The sequence below is a fragment of the Homo sapiens genome, chromosome 10, assembly GCF_000001405.40.
Source record: "Homo sapiens chromosome 10, GRCh38.p14 Primary Assembly".
Classification (NCBI taxonomy): Eukaryota; Metazoa; Chordata; class Mammalia; order Primates; family Hominidae; genus Homo; species Homo sapiens.
In genome coordinates this window covers 1,245,269-1,264,159 of record NC_000010.11, presented here as the reverse complement: position 1 = coordinate 1,264,159, position 18,891 = coordinate 1,245,269, and the positions used below count along the sequence as shown (strand labels likewise).

General features: G+C 43.0%; 1 protein-coding gene across 1 annotated transcript in view, besides 2 other annotated features; it reads left to right on the top strand.

The window, feature by feature from the left end:
• Positions 1-18,891, top strand: part of ADARB2 (adenosine deaminase RNA specific B2 (inactive)) — a 560,213-nt gene that overhangs the window by 473,366 nt on the left and 67,956 nt on the right. The gene's annotated exons all lie outside the window — the stretch shown is intronic.
• Positions 8,044-8,544: an enhancer, noted in NCBI's record as "H3K27ac hESC enhancer chr10:1297667-1298167 (GRCh37/hg19 assembly coordinates)". NCBI's record gives its function as "activates a minimal SCP1, AML or CMV promoter by ChIP-STARR-seq in naive H9 embryonic stem cells {active_cell/tissue: H9 hESC(naive)}" and the evidence as "EXISTENCE:reporter gene assay evidence [ECO:0000049][PMID:30033119]".
• Positions 8,545-9,045: an enhancer, noted in NCBI's record as "H3K27ac hESC enhancer chr10:1297166-1297666 (GRCh37/hg19 assembly coordinates)". NCBI's record gives its function as "activates a minimal SCP1, AML or CMV promoter by ChIP-STARR-seq in primed H9 embryonic stem cells {active_cell/tissue: H9 hESC(primed)}" and the evidence as "EXISTENCE:reporter gene assay evidence [ECO:0000049][PMID:30033119]".

The following is an 18,891-nucleotide window of genomic DNA, read 5'->3' as shown; positions in this document are numbered from 1 at the left end:
TTGATCTTAATGATTACTAAGTGGATACCGAGAAATGTGAAGCTGATGCTGTGTCTCTGTGGGTCTGTTCAGGCACATTAAGATTCACGGAGGCCGACGGCTGAGTACAATAAGGAGCGCTGATGGGCAATTGATTTTAAATCTTTGGTTTAAACTGTTAGGTTTAAACTATAAAATGCAGGACAGATTTCACTAAACCGGTGCTGACCCTTGCGTAGTGTGAATGCTGACACATTTCTACTAAACATCCCTCCTCAAAATGGAGAGGAAAAGAAAATCAATGACTGGACATTTGTTCCACCCGAACATTTAAATAGTTTAGCCTGGCTCATTTAAATAGTTTAGCCTGGAATAATTCACAGGGTGCGGATGAAAACCCTCAAGGCTGAATTAACTAAGGAGAGGACTGGCAGCCCTGGCCGTGAGTTAAATCCTCACCAAATGCCTTCATTTATCCCAAGTAAGGAAATGGGTAGATGGAAATACATGAGAAATGGAGGAGAAAATAAATATTTTTGCTACACTCTCAAGGTCTAGTACTCCAATCAAAGCTGTTCAAACACTTCTTCACTTTTCTGATTATTAACTCATAACTGAGCATTCAATTCTATCTTCAATCTAATTGTCCAAAAGGCTTCACCAGGAAAAGAAAATCCAACGCCATATTATATCTCAAAGCAACACAACTAAACTCATTTTATTCTGGTCTCTTTGACTATGAGTCTTTTTTTACTGGAAGCATAACACTAACTTTGTTGGTGAAAAAATAAAGGACACTAGCATCCAGTGTTTACCTGCATGCCAGGCAATGTTTGGGGTGTGTAAAGCCACATTCTCCTATTATTCAACAAGCTAAAATATTCTTTATTATTACTATTATTATACTTTAAGTTTTAGGGTACATGTGCACAACGTGCAGGTTTGTTACATATGTATACATGTGCCATGTTGGTGTGCTGCACCCAGTAACTCATCATTTAGCATTAGGTATATCTCCTAATGCTATCCCTCCCCCCTCCCCCCACCCCACAACAGGCCCCGGTGTGTGATGTTCCCCTTCCTGTGTCCATGTGATCTCATTGTTCAATTCCCACCTATGAGTGAGAACATGCAGTGTTTGGTTTTTTGTCCTTGTGATAGTTTGCTGAGAATGATGGTTTCCAGTTTCATCCATGTCCCTACAAAGGACATAGACTTATCATTTTTTATGGCTGCATAGTATTCCATGGTGTACATGTGCCACATTTTCTTAAACCAGTCTATCATTGTTGGACATATGGCTTGGTTCCAAGTCTTTGCTATTGTGAATAGTGCCAAAATAAACATATGTGTGCATATGTCTTTACAGCAGCATGATTTATAATCCTTTGGGTATATACCCAGTAATGGGATGACTGGGTCAAATGGTATTTCTAGTTCTAGATCCCTGAGGAATCGCCACACTGACTTCCACAATGGTTGAACTAGTTTACAGTCCCACCAACAGGGTAAAAGTGTTCCTATTTCTCCACATCCTCTCCAGCACCTGTTGTTTCCTGACTTTTTAATGATCACCATTCTAACTGGTGTGAGATGGTATCTGTGGTTTTGATTTGTATTTCTCTGATAGCCAGTGATGATGAGCATTTTTTTGTGTGTTTTTTGGCTGCATAAATGTCTTCTTTTGAGAAGTGTCTGTTCATACCTTCGCCCACTTTTTCATGGGGTTGTTTGATTTTTCTTGTAAATTTGTTTGAGTTCATTGTAGATTCTGGATATTAGCCCTTTGTCACATGAGTGGGTTGCAAAAATTTTCTCCCATTCTGTAGGCTGCCTGTTCACTCTGATGGTGGTTTCTTTTATTATTATTATTATTATTATTATTATTATTATACTTTAAGTTTTAGGGTACATGTGCACATTGTGCAGGTTAGTTACATATGCATACATGTGCCATGCTGGTGTACTGCACCCACTAACTCGTCATCTAGCATTAGGTATATCTCCCAATGCTATCCCTCCCCCCTCCCCCCACCCCACCACAGTCCCCAGAGTGTGATATTCCCCTTCCTGTGTCCATGGGATCTCATTGTTCAATTCCCACCTATGAGTGAGAATATGCGGTGTTTGGTTGTTTGTTCTTGCGATAGTTTACTGAGAATGATGATTTCCAATTTCATCCATGTCCCTACAAAGGACATGAACTCATCATTTTTTATGGCTGCATAGTATTCCATGGTGTATATGTGCCACATTTTCTTAATCCAGTCTATCATTGTTGGACATTTGGCTTGGTTCCAAGTCTTTGCTATTGTGAATAATGCCACAATAAACATACGTGTGCATGTGTCTTTATAGCAGCAAGATTTATAGTCCTTTGGGTATATACCCAGTAATGGAATGGCTGGGTCAAATGGTATTTCTAGTTCTAGATCCCTGAGGAATCGCCACACTGACTTCCACAATGGTTGAACTAGTTGACAGTCCCACCAACAGTGTAAAAGTGTTCCTATTTCTCCACATCCTCTCCAGCACCTGTTGTTTCCTGACTTTTTAATGATTGCCTGGTGTGAGATGGTATCTCATTGTGGTTTTGATTTGCATTTCTCTGATGGCCAGTGATAATGAGCATTTTTTCATGTGTCTTTTGGCTGCATAAATGTCTTCTTTTGAGAAGTGTCTGTTCATGTCCTTTGCCCACTTTTTTATGGGGTTGTTTTTTTCTTGTAAATTTGTTTGAGTTCATTGTAGATTCTGGGTATTAGCCCTTTGTCAGATGAGTAGGTTGCGAAAATTTTCTCCCATTTTGTAGGTTGCCTGTTCACTCTGATGGTAGTTTCTTTTGCTGTGCAGAAGCTCTTTAGTTTAATTAGATCCCATTTGTCAATTTTGTCTTTTGTTGCCATTGCTGTTGGTGTTTTGGACATGAAGTCCTTGCCCATGCCTATGTCCTGAATGGTGATGCCCAGGTTTTCTTCTAGGGTTTTTATGGTTTTAGGTCTAACGTTTAAGTCTTTAATCCATCTTGAATTGATTTTTGTATAAGGTGTAAGGAAGGGATCCAGTTTCAGCTTTCTACATATGGCTAGCCAGTTTTCCCAGCACCATTTATTAAATAGGGAATCCTTTCCCCATTGCTTGTTTTTCTCAGGTTTGTCAAAGATCAGATAGTTGTAGATATGCGGCGTTATTTCTGAGGGCTCTGTTCTGTTCCATTGATCTATATCTCTGTTTTGGTACCAGTACCATGCTGTTTTGGTTACTGTAGCCTTGTAATATAGTTTGAAGTCAGGTAGTGTGATGCCTCCAGCTTTGTTCTTTTGGCTTAGGATTGACTTGGTGATGCGGGCTCTTTTTTGGTTCCATATGAACTTTAAAGTAGTTTTTTCCAATTCTGTGAAGAAAGTCATTGGTAGCTTGATGGGGATGGCATTGAATCTGTAAATTACCTTGGGCAGTATGGCCATTTTCACAATATTGATTCTTCCTACCCATGAGCATGGAATGTTCTTCCATTTGTTTGTATCCTCTTTTATTTCCTTGATCAGTGGTTTGTATTTCTCCTTGAAGAGGTCCTTCACATCCCTTATAAGTTGGATTCCTAGGTATTTTATTGTCTTTGAAGCAATTGTGAATGGGAGTTCACTCATGATTTGGCTCTCTGTTCGTCTGTTATTGGTGTATAAGAATGCTTGTGATTTTTGTACATTGATTTTATATCCTGAGACTTTGCTGAAGTTGCTTATCAGCTTAAGGAGATTTTGGGCTGAGACAATGGGGTTTTCTAGATATACAATCATGTCGTCTGCAAACAGGGACAATTTGACTTCCTCTTTTCCTAACTGAATGCCCTTTATTTCCTTCTCCTGCCTGATTGCCCTGGCCAAAACTTCCAACACTATGTTGAATAGGAGTGGTGAGAGAGGGCATCCCTGTCTTGTGCCAGTTTTCAAAGGGAATGCTTCCAGTTTTTGTCCATTCAGTATGATATTGGCTGTGGGTTTGTCATAGATAGCTCTTATTATTTTCAGATACGTCCCATCAATAACTAATTTATTGAGGTTTTTTTAGCATGAAGGGTTGTTTAATTTTGTCAAAGGCCTTTTCTGCATCTATTGAGATAATCATGTGGTTTTTGCCTTTGGTTCTGTTTATATGCTGGATTACATTTATTGATTTTCGTATGTTGAACCAGCCTTGCATCCCAGGGATGAAGCCCACTTGATCATGGTGGATGAGCTTTTTGATGTGTTGCTGGATTCGGTTTGCCCATATTTTATTGAGGATTTTTGCATCAATGCTCATCAAGGATATTGGTCTAAAATTCTCTTTTTTTGTTGTGTCTCTGCCAGGCTTTGGTATCAGGATGATGCTGGCCTCCTAAAATGAGTTAGGGAGGAGTCCCTCTTTTTCTATTGATTGGAATAGTTTCAGAAGGAATGGTACCAGTTCCTCCTTGTACCTCTGGTAGAATTCGGCTGTGAATCCATCTGGTCCTGGACTTTTTTTGGTTGGTAAGCTATTAATTATTGCCTCAATTTCACAGCCTGTTATTGGTCTATTCAGAGATTCAACTTCTTCCTTGGTTTAGTCTTGGGAGAGTGTATGTGTCGAGGAATTTATCCATTTCTTCTAGATTTTCTAGTTTATTTGCGTAGAAGTGTTTATAGTATTCTCTAATGGTAGTTTGTATTTCTGTGGGACTGGTGGTGATATCCCCTTTATCATTTTTTATTGCATCTATTTGATTCTTCTCTCTTTTCTTCTTTATTAGTCTTGCTAGAGGTCTATCAATTTTGTTGATCTTTTCAAAAAACCAGCTCCTGGATTCATTAATTTTTTGAAGGTTTTTTGTGTCTCTATTTCCTTCAGTTCTGCTCTGATCTTAGTTATTTCTTGCCTTCTGCTAGCTTTTGAATGTGTTTGCTCTTGCTTGTCTAGTTCTTTTCACTGTGATGTTAGGGTGCCAATTTCAGATCTTTCCTGCTTTCTCTTGTGGGCATTTAGCACTATAAATTTCCCTCTACACACTGCTTTGAATGTGTCCCAGAGATTCTGGTATGTTGTGTCTTTGTTCTCCTTGGTTTCAAAGAACATCTTTATTTCTGCCTTCATTTCGTTATTTACCCAGTAGTCATTCAGGAGCAGGTTGTTCAGTTTCCATGTAGTTGAGCAGTTTTGACTGAGTTTCTTAATCCTGAGTTCCAGTTTGATTGCACTGTGGTCTCAGAGACAGTTTGTTATAATTTCTGTTCTTTTACATTTGCTGAGGAGTGCTTTACTTCCAACTATGTGGTCAATTTTGGAATAGGTGTGGTGTGATGCTGAAAACAATGTATATTCTGTTGATTTGGGGTGGAGACTTCTGTAGATGTCTATTAGGTCTGCTTGGTGCAGAGCTGAGTTCAATTCCTGGATATCCTTGTTAACTTTATGTCTCGTTGATCTGTCTAATGTTGACAGTGGGGTGTTAAAGTCTCCCATTATTATTGTGGGGAGTCTAAGTCTCTTTGTAGGTCACTAAGGATTTGCTTTATGAATCTGGGTGCTCCTGTATTGGATGCATATATATTTAGAATAGTTAGTTCTTCTTGTTGAATTGATCCCTTTACCATTATGTAATGGCCTTCTTTGTCTCTTTTGATCTTTGTTGGTTTAAAGACTGTTTTATTAGAGACTAGGATTGCAACCCCTGCCTTTGTTTGCCATTTGCTTGGTAGATCTTCCTCCATCCCTTTGAGCCTATGTGTGTCTCTGCAGCTGAGATGGGTTTCCTGAATACAGCACACTGATGGGTCTTGACTCTTTTTCCAATTTGCCAGTCTGTGCCTTTTAATTGGAGCATTTAGCCCATTTACATTTAAGGTTAGTATTGTTATGTGTGAATTTGATCCTGTCATTATGATGTTAGCTGGTTATTTTGCTCATTAGTTGATGCAGTTTCTTCCTAACAAGCTAAAATATTCTTATATTTACCTTAACCATGCTATGGTTAAGCACACTTAAGAAAGAGGGCAAGAAAGAAAAAGAGTTAGGGAGGGAGGGAGAGAGAAAGAGAAAAAGAGAGAGCTAGGAAAGGGAAGGAGAAGGAAGAAAGAAGCTTCAGGAAATGACTGTGCATTATCTGTGAGCAGGAGTTAATCATCGTTGACAGGGTCCCCACTGTGTGGATGGAGATATAATAAAGATATTCTAAAGGATTCAGGCTAATTAGTGAACAAATGTGAAACTGAGTGAAGCTGTAACCCTCTGAAGTAAGTGTGGACTTTCAAATGTGTGCACCTGGGGTCATGGTTTACACTCCCTGCTTCCCCAGTAGACCCCATATTTAAATTTTCAAGATGTGTCCATCTGCATTAGGTGATATTGAAAGGACTTCCCTGCGGAAACACTGGAGGAACCTTTGGTGCTGTTCCAGACACATCCACGTTGGAACCTGGGGGTAATTCACACCAAGAAACACAGGGTCTCCTGGCTTCCTGCCCTATGCTGTTATAACCAAACTTTCCTCTCTCCGCACCTCTCTTTCCCACACACCCTCACTGCACAGTGTGTCTGTGTCTCCTTCTGCTGCTCCGTTGGACTTTTGAAGTCCTCATGCACAGCGCTCTGGACCCAGCCCCTGCAGCAGCTTCATCACACTGATGACAGGAAGAGGTGTGCATGGAGGCAGGCTCCCAGGTTAGAGAGGGGATGGGCATCTGATCCCTGAGTGCTGACCCTGAAGAGGAAGGGAAGTGGGGTCTCGGGCTGAGGAGGAGCTCCCGATGGAGGAAAGCAGTCTCAGCTTTGGGGCCATCCTGGCAACAGGTGGCTCAGGGAGGAGCCAGTCCATGACAAGCTCAGTGGAGGGCAGAGAAGGGGAGGAGAGTATGAAGCTACAATCGACAGTGGGTTCAGGGCGGCCTCCCCAACTTAGGTCAGTGCCTCCCTGTGTGGTTGGGTCATTACCCAAGAATGGGTGCTCTAACTAACCAGCCAGATTTGAGCCCAGGGGAACTCACACCTCAGTCAAGAAAAGAATAGAAAGTATTAGAGGTCAGCAGAGAGGGCGTGGAGCTCACAGGGCCTGAACACAGCTCGCCTCTGAGCTGATTCAAATATGATCTTCTTAAAAACAGAACAAAAGCATACCAAGTGGTTGCTTAAAAATGAAGAAAGCACTGTCACTTACAATATTTAGTCCATGAATTATTTATGAGCGCGGGCTTCATGCTCTCATTATTTCTGGTTTTAGTGCCAGTGAGGAGACCTTGTCAGCCATCCTCGGTAGGAGAAGAGACCGTTCATCGATCATACCAGGTGTTTCCTATTTGTTCCTTTGATATGGGGTGAAGAGCTTGCTCAGCCCAATGCAAATGAGGAGATAAATAGACTTTTAATAGACTTTTCAATCTATTAATTGCAAAGCGTTTGTTGTCATTCTACCTCTTTCTTGGGGGTAGGAACAGGGCATTAAATATATTTACTAAATGTGTAATTACCATATTTATATCCAGTGAAACCCTTGCAGTGTTGATGTTGAGGATCGTAACTAATAACCTTCTCATAAGCTCGCCTGGCCCCATCTTTTGATATATGTGGTATCCTACCCCAAATTCTATGTATTTTGAGGTTTTATGCACTCAGAATGCCACTGGCTGCAGGAAGTGAGATAGCTGATTAGCAGTGTTGCAAACACGCACCTTTTTATTGTCTCAGTAACCAACAGTGGCCCACATGCCAGACAGTGGTGGCAGGCGCCATTCAGGCCCCTGTGGTTTCAGGGTGTGTGGCCCCCTGACCTCTCCTCATCCCACCCGCTGCTGCAGGTCATGCTCCCAGACCCCATCAGGGCAGGAGGAGGACATGTTCCATCCCACAGACTTCTTTTGGTCAGGATTTTGCTGCTGGCCACTCAGCTGTGCAGGAAGTAGCGGGGAGAGTTGGAAAGGGAGAGTTTTGCATCTCAGTCTCCACAGCAGAGCCAGTGAGGGAGGACAGCTTGGAGCTGGATGTTCAAAAACCAACACTGGTGCAGGCATCCACAGTGCCTGCTCACATCTCCTGGAGCTTCAAGTCCCTCTTCGTTACTGAGCTGTAATACTGGGCAATACTCCAAGTTGAGCACTGTGCTGGGACGAGTGTGGAGAGGTCTGTGCAGCAGCAAATACTGCTGCATCTGCCTGTCCATTCTCATGCCCCGCAAGTATACTTTGGAAAAGTCAAGTTAATTCAGTAGGAGAATGTGCCAGATGTGCCACTGTCATGTAAACACCGTTAGCTCCCAGGGCTGACATGTGGTTGTCAATGTGCTTGCCTGCCTGGATGCTGCCTGTGTCAGGGCCCAACTTGTCCTGCCCGCTGATGGGGCTATAGTGTGTTTGACCCACCATGAGTCACAGACACACGTGTGACCTGTTTGGGAGGGATCCCCTCCACTCTCATGAGGTCACACTGTCTAGCGAACCATGCAGCCAGCTCCCTGCCCAAGGCCCACAGAAAGGTCACTGGCATCTCCTCAGTTTCCTCCCTCTTACCTCTAACCTCACCGACAGCCCATCAGGTTTGGAGAAGTTCCATTCCCTGATGGGGAACAGCAAAGAGCGTTGACCAGCTGACATCTGGTCACATCCCTGTCCATGGCCTGACCCTCTTTGGGTTGTAGTGGGGGCCACAGTGCCCGAGGCCATCACAGGTGGACAGCAGCCAGCGTCAGCCTGGCATGGTTTCTGGGCTCTCTCAATGCCTTTGTCGTGTTGTATGTTATGTGGAGTGAGCAGCATGTTTGATTAGTGTGTAGACCCAGCGCTCACATGTGCCTGGCACAGAAGGCTTGGTGAGCGTCAGCTGCACTGACGAGGACAAGCTACGTGACGTGGCACCCAGGGCCAGTGATTGCCTCATTTCCTGTCAGAGCAACATGTGAATCTGTGTTGACAAAGCAAGCCCCAGCCATTTTGGAAGGAAAAAGAATGAGTGTTAAAACAGCAGAGTTATTCATTTCTGACATTCCTGGATCCAAGCACTCCCTCATGTTTTGGCCCCATGAGGAGCTCAGAGCATTGGCCCCGCTTGCTCCCTCACTGGGGCTGAGCCCCGGCATGACTGGCAGTCTCAGCACCTGAAAGTGAGGGTGGCATGTCCTCTGGGAGCATTTTATAAGGAAATTAATGAGTATGTGATTACTGTGCTTATCCTGACAACTAAGTGCTGAGGCTGAGAAACCCTGGCTTTCACAGCGTGTTCACACAGTTGGACAGAGTCAGCATTTGGGATTCACTAATCAGTTGCCCACCATTCTTTGAAGCTCAGGTACAGCAAATGGGGACCATGGCATCTGTGGATGCCCACAGAGTGGGTTTTCTTTGTAGATGCCTACAATCTATTGAGCACCATATGTGTGCAACGCTCAAGAGAAACTGCCCCTTGATTCAATGGTTTCTCTTTCAAATTGCCAAACCAAAGAATCTGCCTCAGTGAAGAGCACCTATTCCCAAACTGCATCCAATGACATCACACAGCCAGGTGAAAAAGTGAATATTCTGCATCTGCTTTTTTTCACATACTTCTGCTCCCCAAATTCACCTGACCATAAGAATAACCTGAAAACATTGCCTAAAAACAGATTTTCAGGAACCTCACAAGGAGATGCTCATTCAATAGTTTTGGGGTTCTCGATTTGTAGGAGACTGGAGCCACATCTGTGATTTCAACAGTGACCAAAAGATTCCTCTGATCACACAAGTATAAGAAAGAATGGCCAAAACTTGCTTGACATCTTTTATGCAGAGAGCAATTCTCCCAGTTCTGGTGAAGACAACATGGTGAGCAAGGCTTCTACCCATCATCTCCACTCAGGAGTACCTGGGAAGAAGGTAGACGGTTCTGGTGATGTCACCCATACAACAGGAGGCCCTCCAGAAACTACTACTGCCTCACAGGCACTGGAGTTCTACACCAGTAACCACACAGAGCCCTCCACATCCTAACCACAGAGCCCACCACATCCTAACCACAGAGCCCACCATGTCCTAACCACAGAGCCCACTGCATTCTAACCACGGAATCCACTGCATCCTAACCAGAGTCAACTGCATCCTAACCAGAGACCGCGGCATCCTAACCACATCCTAACCACAGAGCCGACCTCACCCTAACCACCGAGCCCTCTGCATCCTAACCATAGCCCACCGTATTCTAACCTAACCACAGAGCCCACCTCATCCTAAACACAGAACCCACCGTATCCTAACCCAGAGCCCATCGCATCTTAACCAGATCCCACATTTTACCCACAGAGCCCACCGCATCCTAACCACAGATGCCACCACATCCTCACCACAGAGCTCCTTGTTTTCATGCAGGCTGCTCCCAGTCTTCAGCTACTCTTCCTCCTTTACGTGGCCAGTGGTTACACACCTTCTAGTCCAGGACACAGGTCTCTTCTTTCTCCCTCTCTTAACACTGGCTTTGATGTCCATGGTTGCCCCATCCTCTGAGAAGGTGTCCCTACAGCTGGTGTAGCCCAACCACAGACAGTTTCTGCTCTCCTGCCATGCTGCCTTCTCCCTGCCTGTGAGCATGTGCTGTGAAAGGAGCTTTGAGACTGCACAGTTTTTTATCCTCTTTCCCTTGAATAAGGTAGGTGTTTAATGCCCACTGAATGAATGGATGGATAAACAAATGGAAATACATTAAAATATGCCCTTGATACTTTAAAGCAAGCGAGTGCTCATCCTGGAATTGTTATTTGGCCCATGGTGCAATGCCATGGTCAGATTTAGTTGAAAGGTGTTCTTGAACGTGTCTTGTCTTTAAGCTTTCCCACACCAGCCCTCTTGTTCTCATTGCAAGAACATGTGCTTCATAGTCAGTAGAAGTTAATAATGGAACACATGGTTTTTTGTGTGTTATTCTAGCAAGGGAAGTCACAGAAACATCCTGGTTGCAGATGGAAAAACAAATATGATTACAAGAGAACAGAAATATATGTATCATAATAGCTAAAGATGGCGGCATTTTTGCTGTGTATCAGGCACATGTTAAGAACTTCGCATTATTTTCTTTAATCTTTAAAAACTTTTTCCAAACAAGATAACTGAACACAATTAAATTCTTGCCTCAAGTAAGCAGCAGAAACAGGGCTACCTGTGCCCTAGAGCCTGTTAAACTCTGACTACAGTGCTTTGTTATCTGATATTCCCCAGATGTATTGTCATTCATAGAGGAGAGCACAAAACATTTACACATAACTTGTTTTCCTTCCAAAATCAATGCATTTGAAATGTTTAGAGAATAAAAGCCCAGGAGACACTGGTGTCTTCTGATTCCTGAGGAAAGCCATAAATCAAGACCCTAGTGGAAGAAAAATCTCCCCTGTCAAAAGCAAAGCTGTTTCCTTTCAGTCTCAGTCCAATCATGTCCCCAACAGACAAGATGTCCCCAAGCCAGACATTTTAAAATCTACCTGATTTCGAACTAATTAGAGGAAATATAGAGAATGGAAGCAGAAACACCAGAAGATTTAAAAAAAAAAAAATTGGCTTGCAGGAAAAGATTGAAAATAAAACATAGACTTTGACCAAATAATGACTAGATGTGGGATTGCAGGCCGATCATGATATTCACTGCGAGTATTCAGAGAATACCAACCACAAGGAGACTGGGAGCTTTAAAGATGAAGTCTGGGAAGTGGACTGAAATTGTACAGAAGATCAGTTAGGCTGAACACTGAAGAAGGTTTCCTAACACTGAGCACTGATAAACTGTGGAAGAGTCTTTCTCAAGGCAAGCTGTGGAAACCCTGTTGTTGAGTCATTAAATTCAGTGGGCACAGTTCTAGGAAATAGGGAGGCAGAGTTAATTACACATGACACCCTTGGGGCAGTCTACATGTGGAGTAAAAATTATTCCTTTCTCTCTATATCTTCTATAATTTTGAAATGTATTTCTTTGATGCTATTTGGTATATTTTACTTTCAGTTTTCTTCTTAGAAATTTGGTAATCCTTTTCCTCCAAAACCAGATACAGTATAAGAAATTTACCTTTAAAACATTGGAACAGGCTGAGAATGACTTAGTTCCAAGTAAATAATAAAAGCCCATTCCCAGACATTGTCTAGAGATGGGTAATGTGCTGGGGAGAAGCCCTGTGTCTGCATCCATTTGTGCTGCTGCAACAAAGTACCTCAGACTGAGCCATTTATAAACAACAGAAGTTCATTGCTCACAGTTCTGGGGGCTGGGAAGTCCACAATCCAGACGTCAGCAGGCTTGGTGTCGAGAGGGCTGCACTCTGCCTCCAGGATGGTGCCTTGTTGCTACATCGTTTGGAGGGGAGGAACACTGTATCCTCACATGGCAGATGGGATGGATGGCATAAGAGGGCTGGACTCTGTCTGAAGTCTCTTTTATAGGGGTATTAATCCATTCATGAAGGTGGAGCCCTCATCCCCTAATCACCTCCTAAAGGCCCCACCTTTTAATACCACCACAATGAGGATTAAGTTTCAATATAAATTTTGGAGAAAACACCACATTTAAACCATAGCACCCACCAAGTTTATACATTATCCCTTATTTTATTTATGACATATGCATCTTTATTTCTTTAATCACCCAAAAACCATTCTTTGTGTTAGGGTTCGCTCCCGGTGTTGGACATTCTATGGGTTTGGACAAATGTATAATGACATGGATCCACCATTGTACCATCAAACAGAGTAGTTTCACTGCCCTAAAAATCCTCTGTTCTCCATCTATTCATCCCTTCCCCGCCTCATCCCCTGGCAACCACTGACCTTTTTACATATCTCCATAGTTTTGCCTTTTCCAGAATGCCCTGTAGTTGAAATCATATAATATGTAGACTTTTCAGATCAGCTTCTTTTACTTAACTTTTATTTAACTTTCCTCCATGTCTTTTCATGGCTTGATAACTGATTTATTTTTAGTGCTGAGTAATATTCCATTGTCTGAATGTACCATGATTTATCCATTCACCTGCTGAAAGATATCTTGCTTGTTTCCAAGTTTTGGCAATTATGGGTAAAGATGCTGTAAACATTCAAATACAGTTCTTCATTTCTTACATCTAAACATTGATCAATTTGGAATTTACTCTGGTACATGGTGTCAGATAAAGATGCAATTTTATTTCTCAGATGACTATGCAGTTGTTAGATACCATTAATTGGATAGTCTCTCTTTGCCTCAGTGGTTTGAGATGTGATTACCTTTGTCCTATACTAAATTCCTGCACGTGTTGGGTCAATTTCTGGACTCCCCACTTTGTTCCACCTGTTTCACTTCACACCCCATCCCCACAGTGACCTGGCATGGAGCCTCTATAACCTGCTTGATGTACACTAGGGCTTGTCTCCAGCATTAGCCTTCTTTTTCAGAATTTTCTGGGTTTCCTTTTAGAATCAGCTTGCCCAGTTAAAAACAAATAACTATCTTAGTTCATTTTGTGTTGCTATAACAGAATACATGAGACTGGGTACTTTATAAAAAATAGTGGTTTATCTAGCTCATGCTTCTGCAGGCTGGGAAGTTTAAGGGTATGGCAGTGGATTCTGGTGAGAGCTTTTTTTCTGCATCATAACATGATGGAGAAGGTCAAGGGGGAAGCAGACACTTGTAAAGAGAAAACCAGAGGGGCATCATGGCTTCATTACAGCCCACGCTCATGGGAACTAATGCATTTCCTTGAAGACTAAGGGACATCGTGGCTTCATTACAGCCAACTCTCACAGGAACGAACCCATTTCCTTGAAGACTAATCCATCTTGCCAGAGCAAGAACTCACCGCCTTGAGGACAGCACCAAGCCCTTCATAAGGAATCCACCCCATGACCCAAACACCTCCCACTAGGTCCCATCACCCCCCAACACCGCCACACTGAGGACCAAATCTCAACAGGAGTTTTGGCTACAAATAAACCATACCCAAGCCATAGCAATGGCAAAGCAAAACAAAATTATACTTTTTAACCAGGTGTCTTGTCCAAAACAAAGCACCATTGCTGTTTCTTTGGGAATCCTGTTAAATTTATGAATCAATTTAGAGAGGATTCATTATGTTAAACCTCCCTATCCAAAAATGTGGCAAGTCTTTCTGTTTGTTTAAATTTTGTTGTGTCCTTCAATAGGATTTTTAAGTTTTATTCACTATAGTCCTTGGTCATTTCTCGTTAAACTTATTCCTATTATCTCGTTTGCTGCCATTATAAATGGAGTCATTTTTCCTTTACAGTGTCTCTCTAGTTGCTGTGTGTCTCTATGAAAGTTATTGACTTCTGTATATTAACTTGGAACGCTTTCACCATATTAAGCTCTCTCATTGTTTCTAGCAGTATGTCAACTGGATTCTCTGGAGGTTTCCAGACACAGAATCATAACATGTTCAGACAGTGCTTGTGTTACCTGCCCCTCTCCAATTACTACAGAGCTAATTTCTTTCTCTTGTTGTGCTCGTCAATGGCTGCAGCAGATGTTCCTGAATGGTCATAAAAATGCCTGGAGTGCTTCCCCATAGAGCATGATACTCGTGTGTATGTGTGTGTGTGTGTGTGTGTGTGCATAAAATCACATTCAGGAAAAAAATCCCTCTGTTCCACTTGACAGAGTTGAGTTTTGATAAAAACTCAGTGTTTTATCAAAAGCATTTGTTGTATTTTGTCAGATGCCTTATCAGTGTCTGTAATTATGCCTATTTTTGTGTTGCATATAAATCCATTTTTTTTTTTTTTTTTTGAGACAGGGTCTTGCTCTGTTACCCAGGCTGGAGAGCAGTGGCGCAATCTCAGCTCACTCCAACCTCCGCCTCCAGGGCTCAAGTGATCCTCCCACCTCAGTCTCTCAAGTACCCGGGACTACAGGCTCACGCCTCCACACCCAGCTACTTTTTGTATTTTTTGTAGACTTGGGGTCTGGCTATGTTGCCCAGGCTGGTCTCAAACACCTGGCCTTAAGCAATCCACTGTCCTCAGCCTCCCAAAGTGCTGGGATTACAGGTGTGAACCACTGTGTGCCTGGCCTTAATTTTTTAATATAACTGATTATCACATTTCAGAAATAAGCCCATGTTGCAGGGACGTACTGTAGTGCTCTTTTCCTCTGCTACTTGATGGCTAGTATTTTGTCTAACTGAGGGTCCTCTGTTGTCTGCTTTGTTGTGCAGGCTACGTCAGTATGGCAATGATTTAGGCATTCCATGATAACACACAACCCGAAGGCTTCTCTTGTCTTTATATGCTCCAGAACACTTACAATTGCCTTGAAACCATCTGCTACTTGAAGGTTCAGTCGAATTCTACAAAACTCACTGTGCTTGGTGCTTTGGCGGGGGTGCAGGAGCCCTGCTGTTTGGCCAGCTTTTCCACTTATTCTATAGAAATTCGTATATTTTCTGTGACTACTTCTCATGTTGTCTTACAGAGTAGTAGTTTTACTCTCAATAGCCATTTATAGGAAAAGAGATCACCAATAGCCACTATGTATGGAGTGATGCTTCTATACAAACTTGCATTTTATTGGCTTAACAGCATCATTGGAAGGATTGGAGTAAATGCTGTTGGCACCACAGCCGCCCCATCCTGGGCTTCCTGATCTTCTCCTGGCTCCGAGTACCGGCCAGGAGCAGCTCACAGCTGCAGCCTCCTCCTGAGAATGGCCCTAGCCACCAGAAGCCTACACGCCTGGGAACGTCCACAGCTCATGACTGACACGTCGCACGCCCTTGCCTCACACTCCAGAGCTTCCTGTTTGGTCAGCTGGAGACGGGACCTCAGGAGGACTTCCTAAGTCTTCCTGCACCTCCTGCACGCCTGTGAGTGCCCACAGCTCATGACTGACACGTTGCACGCCCTTGCCTCACACTCCAGAGCTTCCTGTTTGGTCAGCTGGAGACGGGACCTCAGGAGGACTTCCTAAGTCTTCCTGCACCTCCTGCACGCCTGGGAGTGCCCACAGCTCATGACTGACACGTCGCACACCTTTGCCTCACACTCCAGAGCTTCCTGTTTGGTCAGCTGGAGACGGGACCTCAGTACAGCCTCCCCTCGCCTGGCGTCTTTGCTGCCCCATCCTGTCTTCCTGACTTAATAAGCCCCTACTGGAGCATCCCCGACCCAGCCTCTGCTGCAAGGCGGCCTGGCTTTGGGCACATTTTTACACAAAGCATTGCTCATTGAGTGCAGAGCATTTTTGGTGTCCATACGGCTTGGCATGGCCTCACCCCCATCCCAGCAATCAAGGATCTCCATGTGGGGAACCAGAGCACCGAAAAAGGAGAATGTTAGACACCTCTGTGCAGGGTTGACACAGCCCCAAATACCACTGGTTTATACCTGGAGGGTGATGCCCATAAACCAAGGACCCCATTTCTCCCCATAGGTATGAGGGCCCTAGACCTGCCTGTGGTCCCGCCATGGTGGCAGCACCCTCGCGCTGTCCCCTGTGATGGGGGTGTTAAGAAAAGCGTGTTTATCTGAATGCTGGTTGGTGCCGTTTCTGTTTTTGACACGTTTTTGCTCGCAGTCTTCAACTGCTACTGAGCTCTGTTCTCCACCTCACTATGCTGCCTGATGCCTCATCACCCTCATGGCACCGAGGGGAGAGATGATGACGCCCGCCCTCTCCTTTCCCCCAAATTAAATCGGTCAGCCCCAAATTTGGCCATTCTTCATTAATGGGACGTATCTCAAAATAATAAGAGCTATCTATGACAAACCCACAGCCAATATCATACTGAATGGGCAAAAACTGGAAGCATTCCCTTTGAAAACTGGCACAAGACAGGGATGCCCTCTCTCACCACTCCTATTCAACATAGTGTTGGAAGTTTTGGCCAGGGCAATCAGGCAGGAGAAGGAAATAAAGGTTATTCAATTAGGAAAAGAGAAAGTCAAATTGTCTCTGTTTGCAGATGACATGATTGTATATCTAGAAAACCCCATTGTCTCAGCCCAAAATCTCCTTAAGCTGACAGGCAACTTCAGCAAAGTCTCAGGATACAAAATCAATGTACAAAAATCACAAGCATTCTTATACACCAATAACAGACAAACAGCCAAATCATGAGTGAACTCCCTTTCACAATTGCTTCAAAGAGAATAAAATACCTAGGAATCCAACTTACAAGGGATGTGAAGGACCTCTTCAAGGAGAACTACAAACCACTGCTCAATGAAATAAAGGAGGATACAAACAAATGGAAGAACATTCCATGCTCATGGGTGGGAAGAATCAATATCGTGAAAATGGCCATACTGCCCAAGGTAATTTATAGATTCAATGCCATCCCCATCAAGCTACCAATGACTTTCTTCACAGAACTGGAAAAAACTAAAGTTCATATGGAACCAAAAAAGAGCCCGCATCACCAAGTCAATCCTAAGCCAAAAGAACAAGGCTGGAGGCATCACACTACCTGACTTCAAACTATATTACAAGGCTACAGTAACCAAAACAGCATGGTACTGGTACCAAAACAGAGATATAGATCAATGGAACAGAACAGAGCCCTCAGAAATAACGCCGCATATCTACAACTATCTGATCTTTGACAAACCTGAGAAAAACAAGCAATGGGGAAAGGATTCCCTATTTAATAAATGGTGCTGGGAAAACTGGCTAGCCATATGTAGAAAGCTGAAACTGGATCCCTTCCTTACACCTTATACAAAAATCAATTCAAGATGGATTAAAGACTTAAACGTTAGACCTAAAACCATAAAAACCCTAGAAGAAAACCTGGGCATCACCATTCAGGACATAGGCATGGGCAAGGACTTCATGTCCAAAACACCAACAGCAATGGCAACAAAAGACAAAATTGACAAATGGGATCTAACTAAACTAAAGAGCTTCTGCACAGCAAAAGAAACTACCATCAGAGTGAACAGGCAACCTACAGAATGGGAGAAAATGTTTGCAATCTACTCATCTGACAAAGGGCTAATATCCAGAATCTACAATGAACTCAAACAAATTTACAAGAAAAATCAAACAACCCCATGAAAAAGTGGGTGAAGGATATGAACAGACACTTCTCAAAAGAAGACATTTATGCAGCCAAAAGACACATGAAAAAATGCTCATCATCACTGGCCATCAGAAAAATGCAAATCAAAACCACAATGAGATACCATCTCACACCAGTTAGAATGGCAATCATTAAAAAGTCAGGAAACAACAGGTGCTGGAGAGGATGTGGAGAAATAGGAACACTTTTACCCTGTTGGTGTGACTGTAAACTAGTTCAACCATTGTGGAAGTCAGTATGGTGATTCCTCAGGGATCTAGAACTAGAAATACCATTTGATCCAGCCATCCCATTACTGGGTATATACCCAAGGGATTATAAATCATGCTGCTATAAAGACACATGCACACATATGTTTATTGTGGCACTATTCATGATAGCAAAGACTTGGAACCAACCAAAATGTCCATCAGTGATAGACTGGTTTCAGAAAATGTGGCACATATACACCATGGAATACTATGCAGCCATAAAAAAGGATGAGTTCATGTCCTTTGTAGGGACATGGATGAAGCTAGAAACCATCATTCTCAGCAAACTATCACAAGGACAAAAAACCAAACACCGCATGTCCTCACTCATAGGTGGGAATTGAAGAATGAGAACACATGCACACAGGAAGGGGAACATCACACACCGGGGCCTGTTGTGGGGTGGGGGGAGGGGGGAGGAATAGCATTAGGAGATATACCTAATGTTAAATGACAAGTTAACAGGTGCAGCACACCAACATGGCACATGTATACATATGTAACTAACCTGCACGTTGTGCACATGTGCACCCTAAAACTTAAAGTATAATAAAAAAGAAAAAGAAAAAACAAAAAATAAGTAAATAAATAAAAATCTTCCTATTTCTCATTTGTAATGTGTGGTACTCA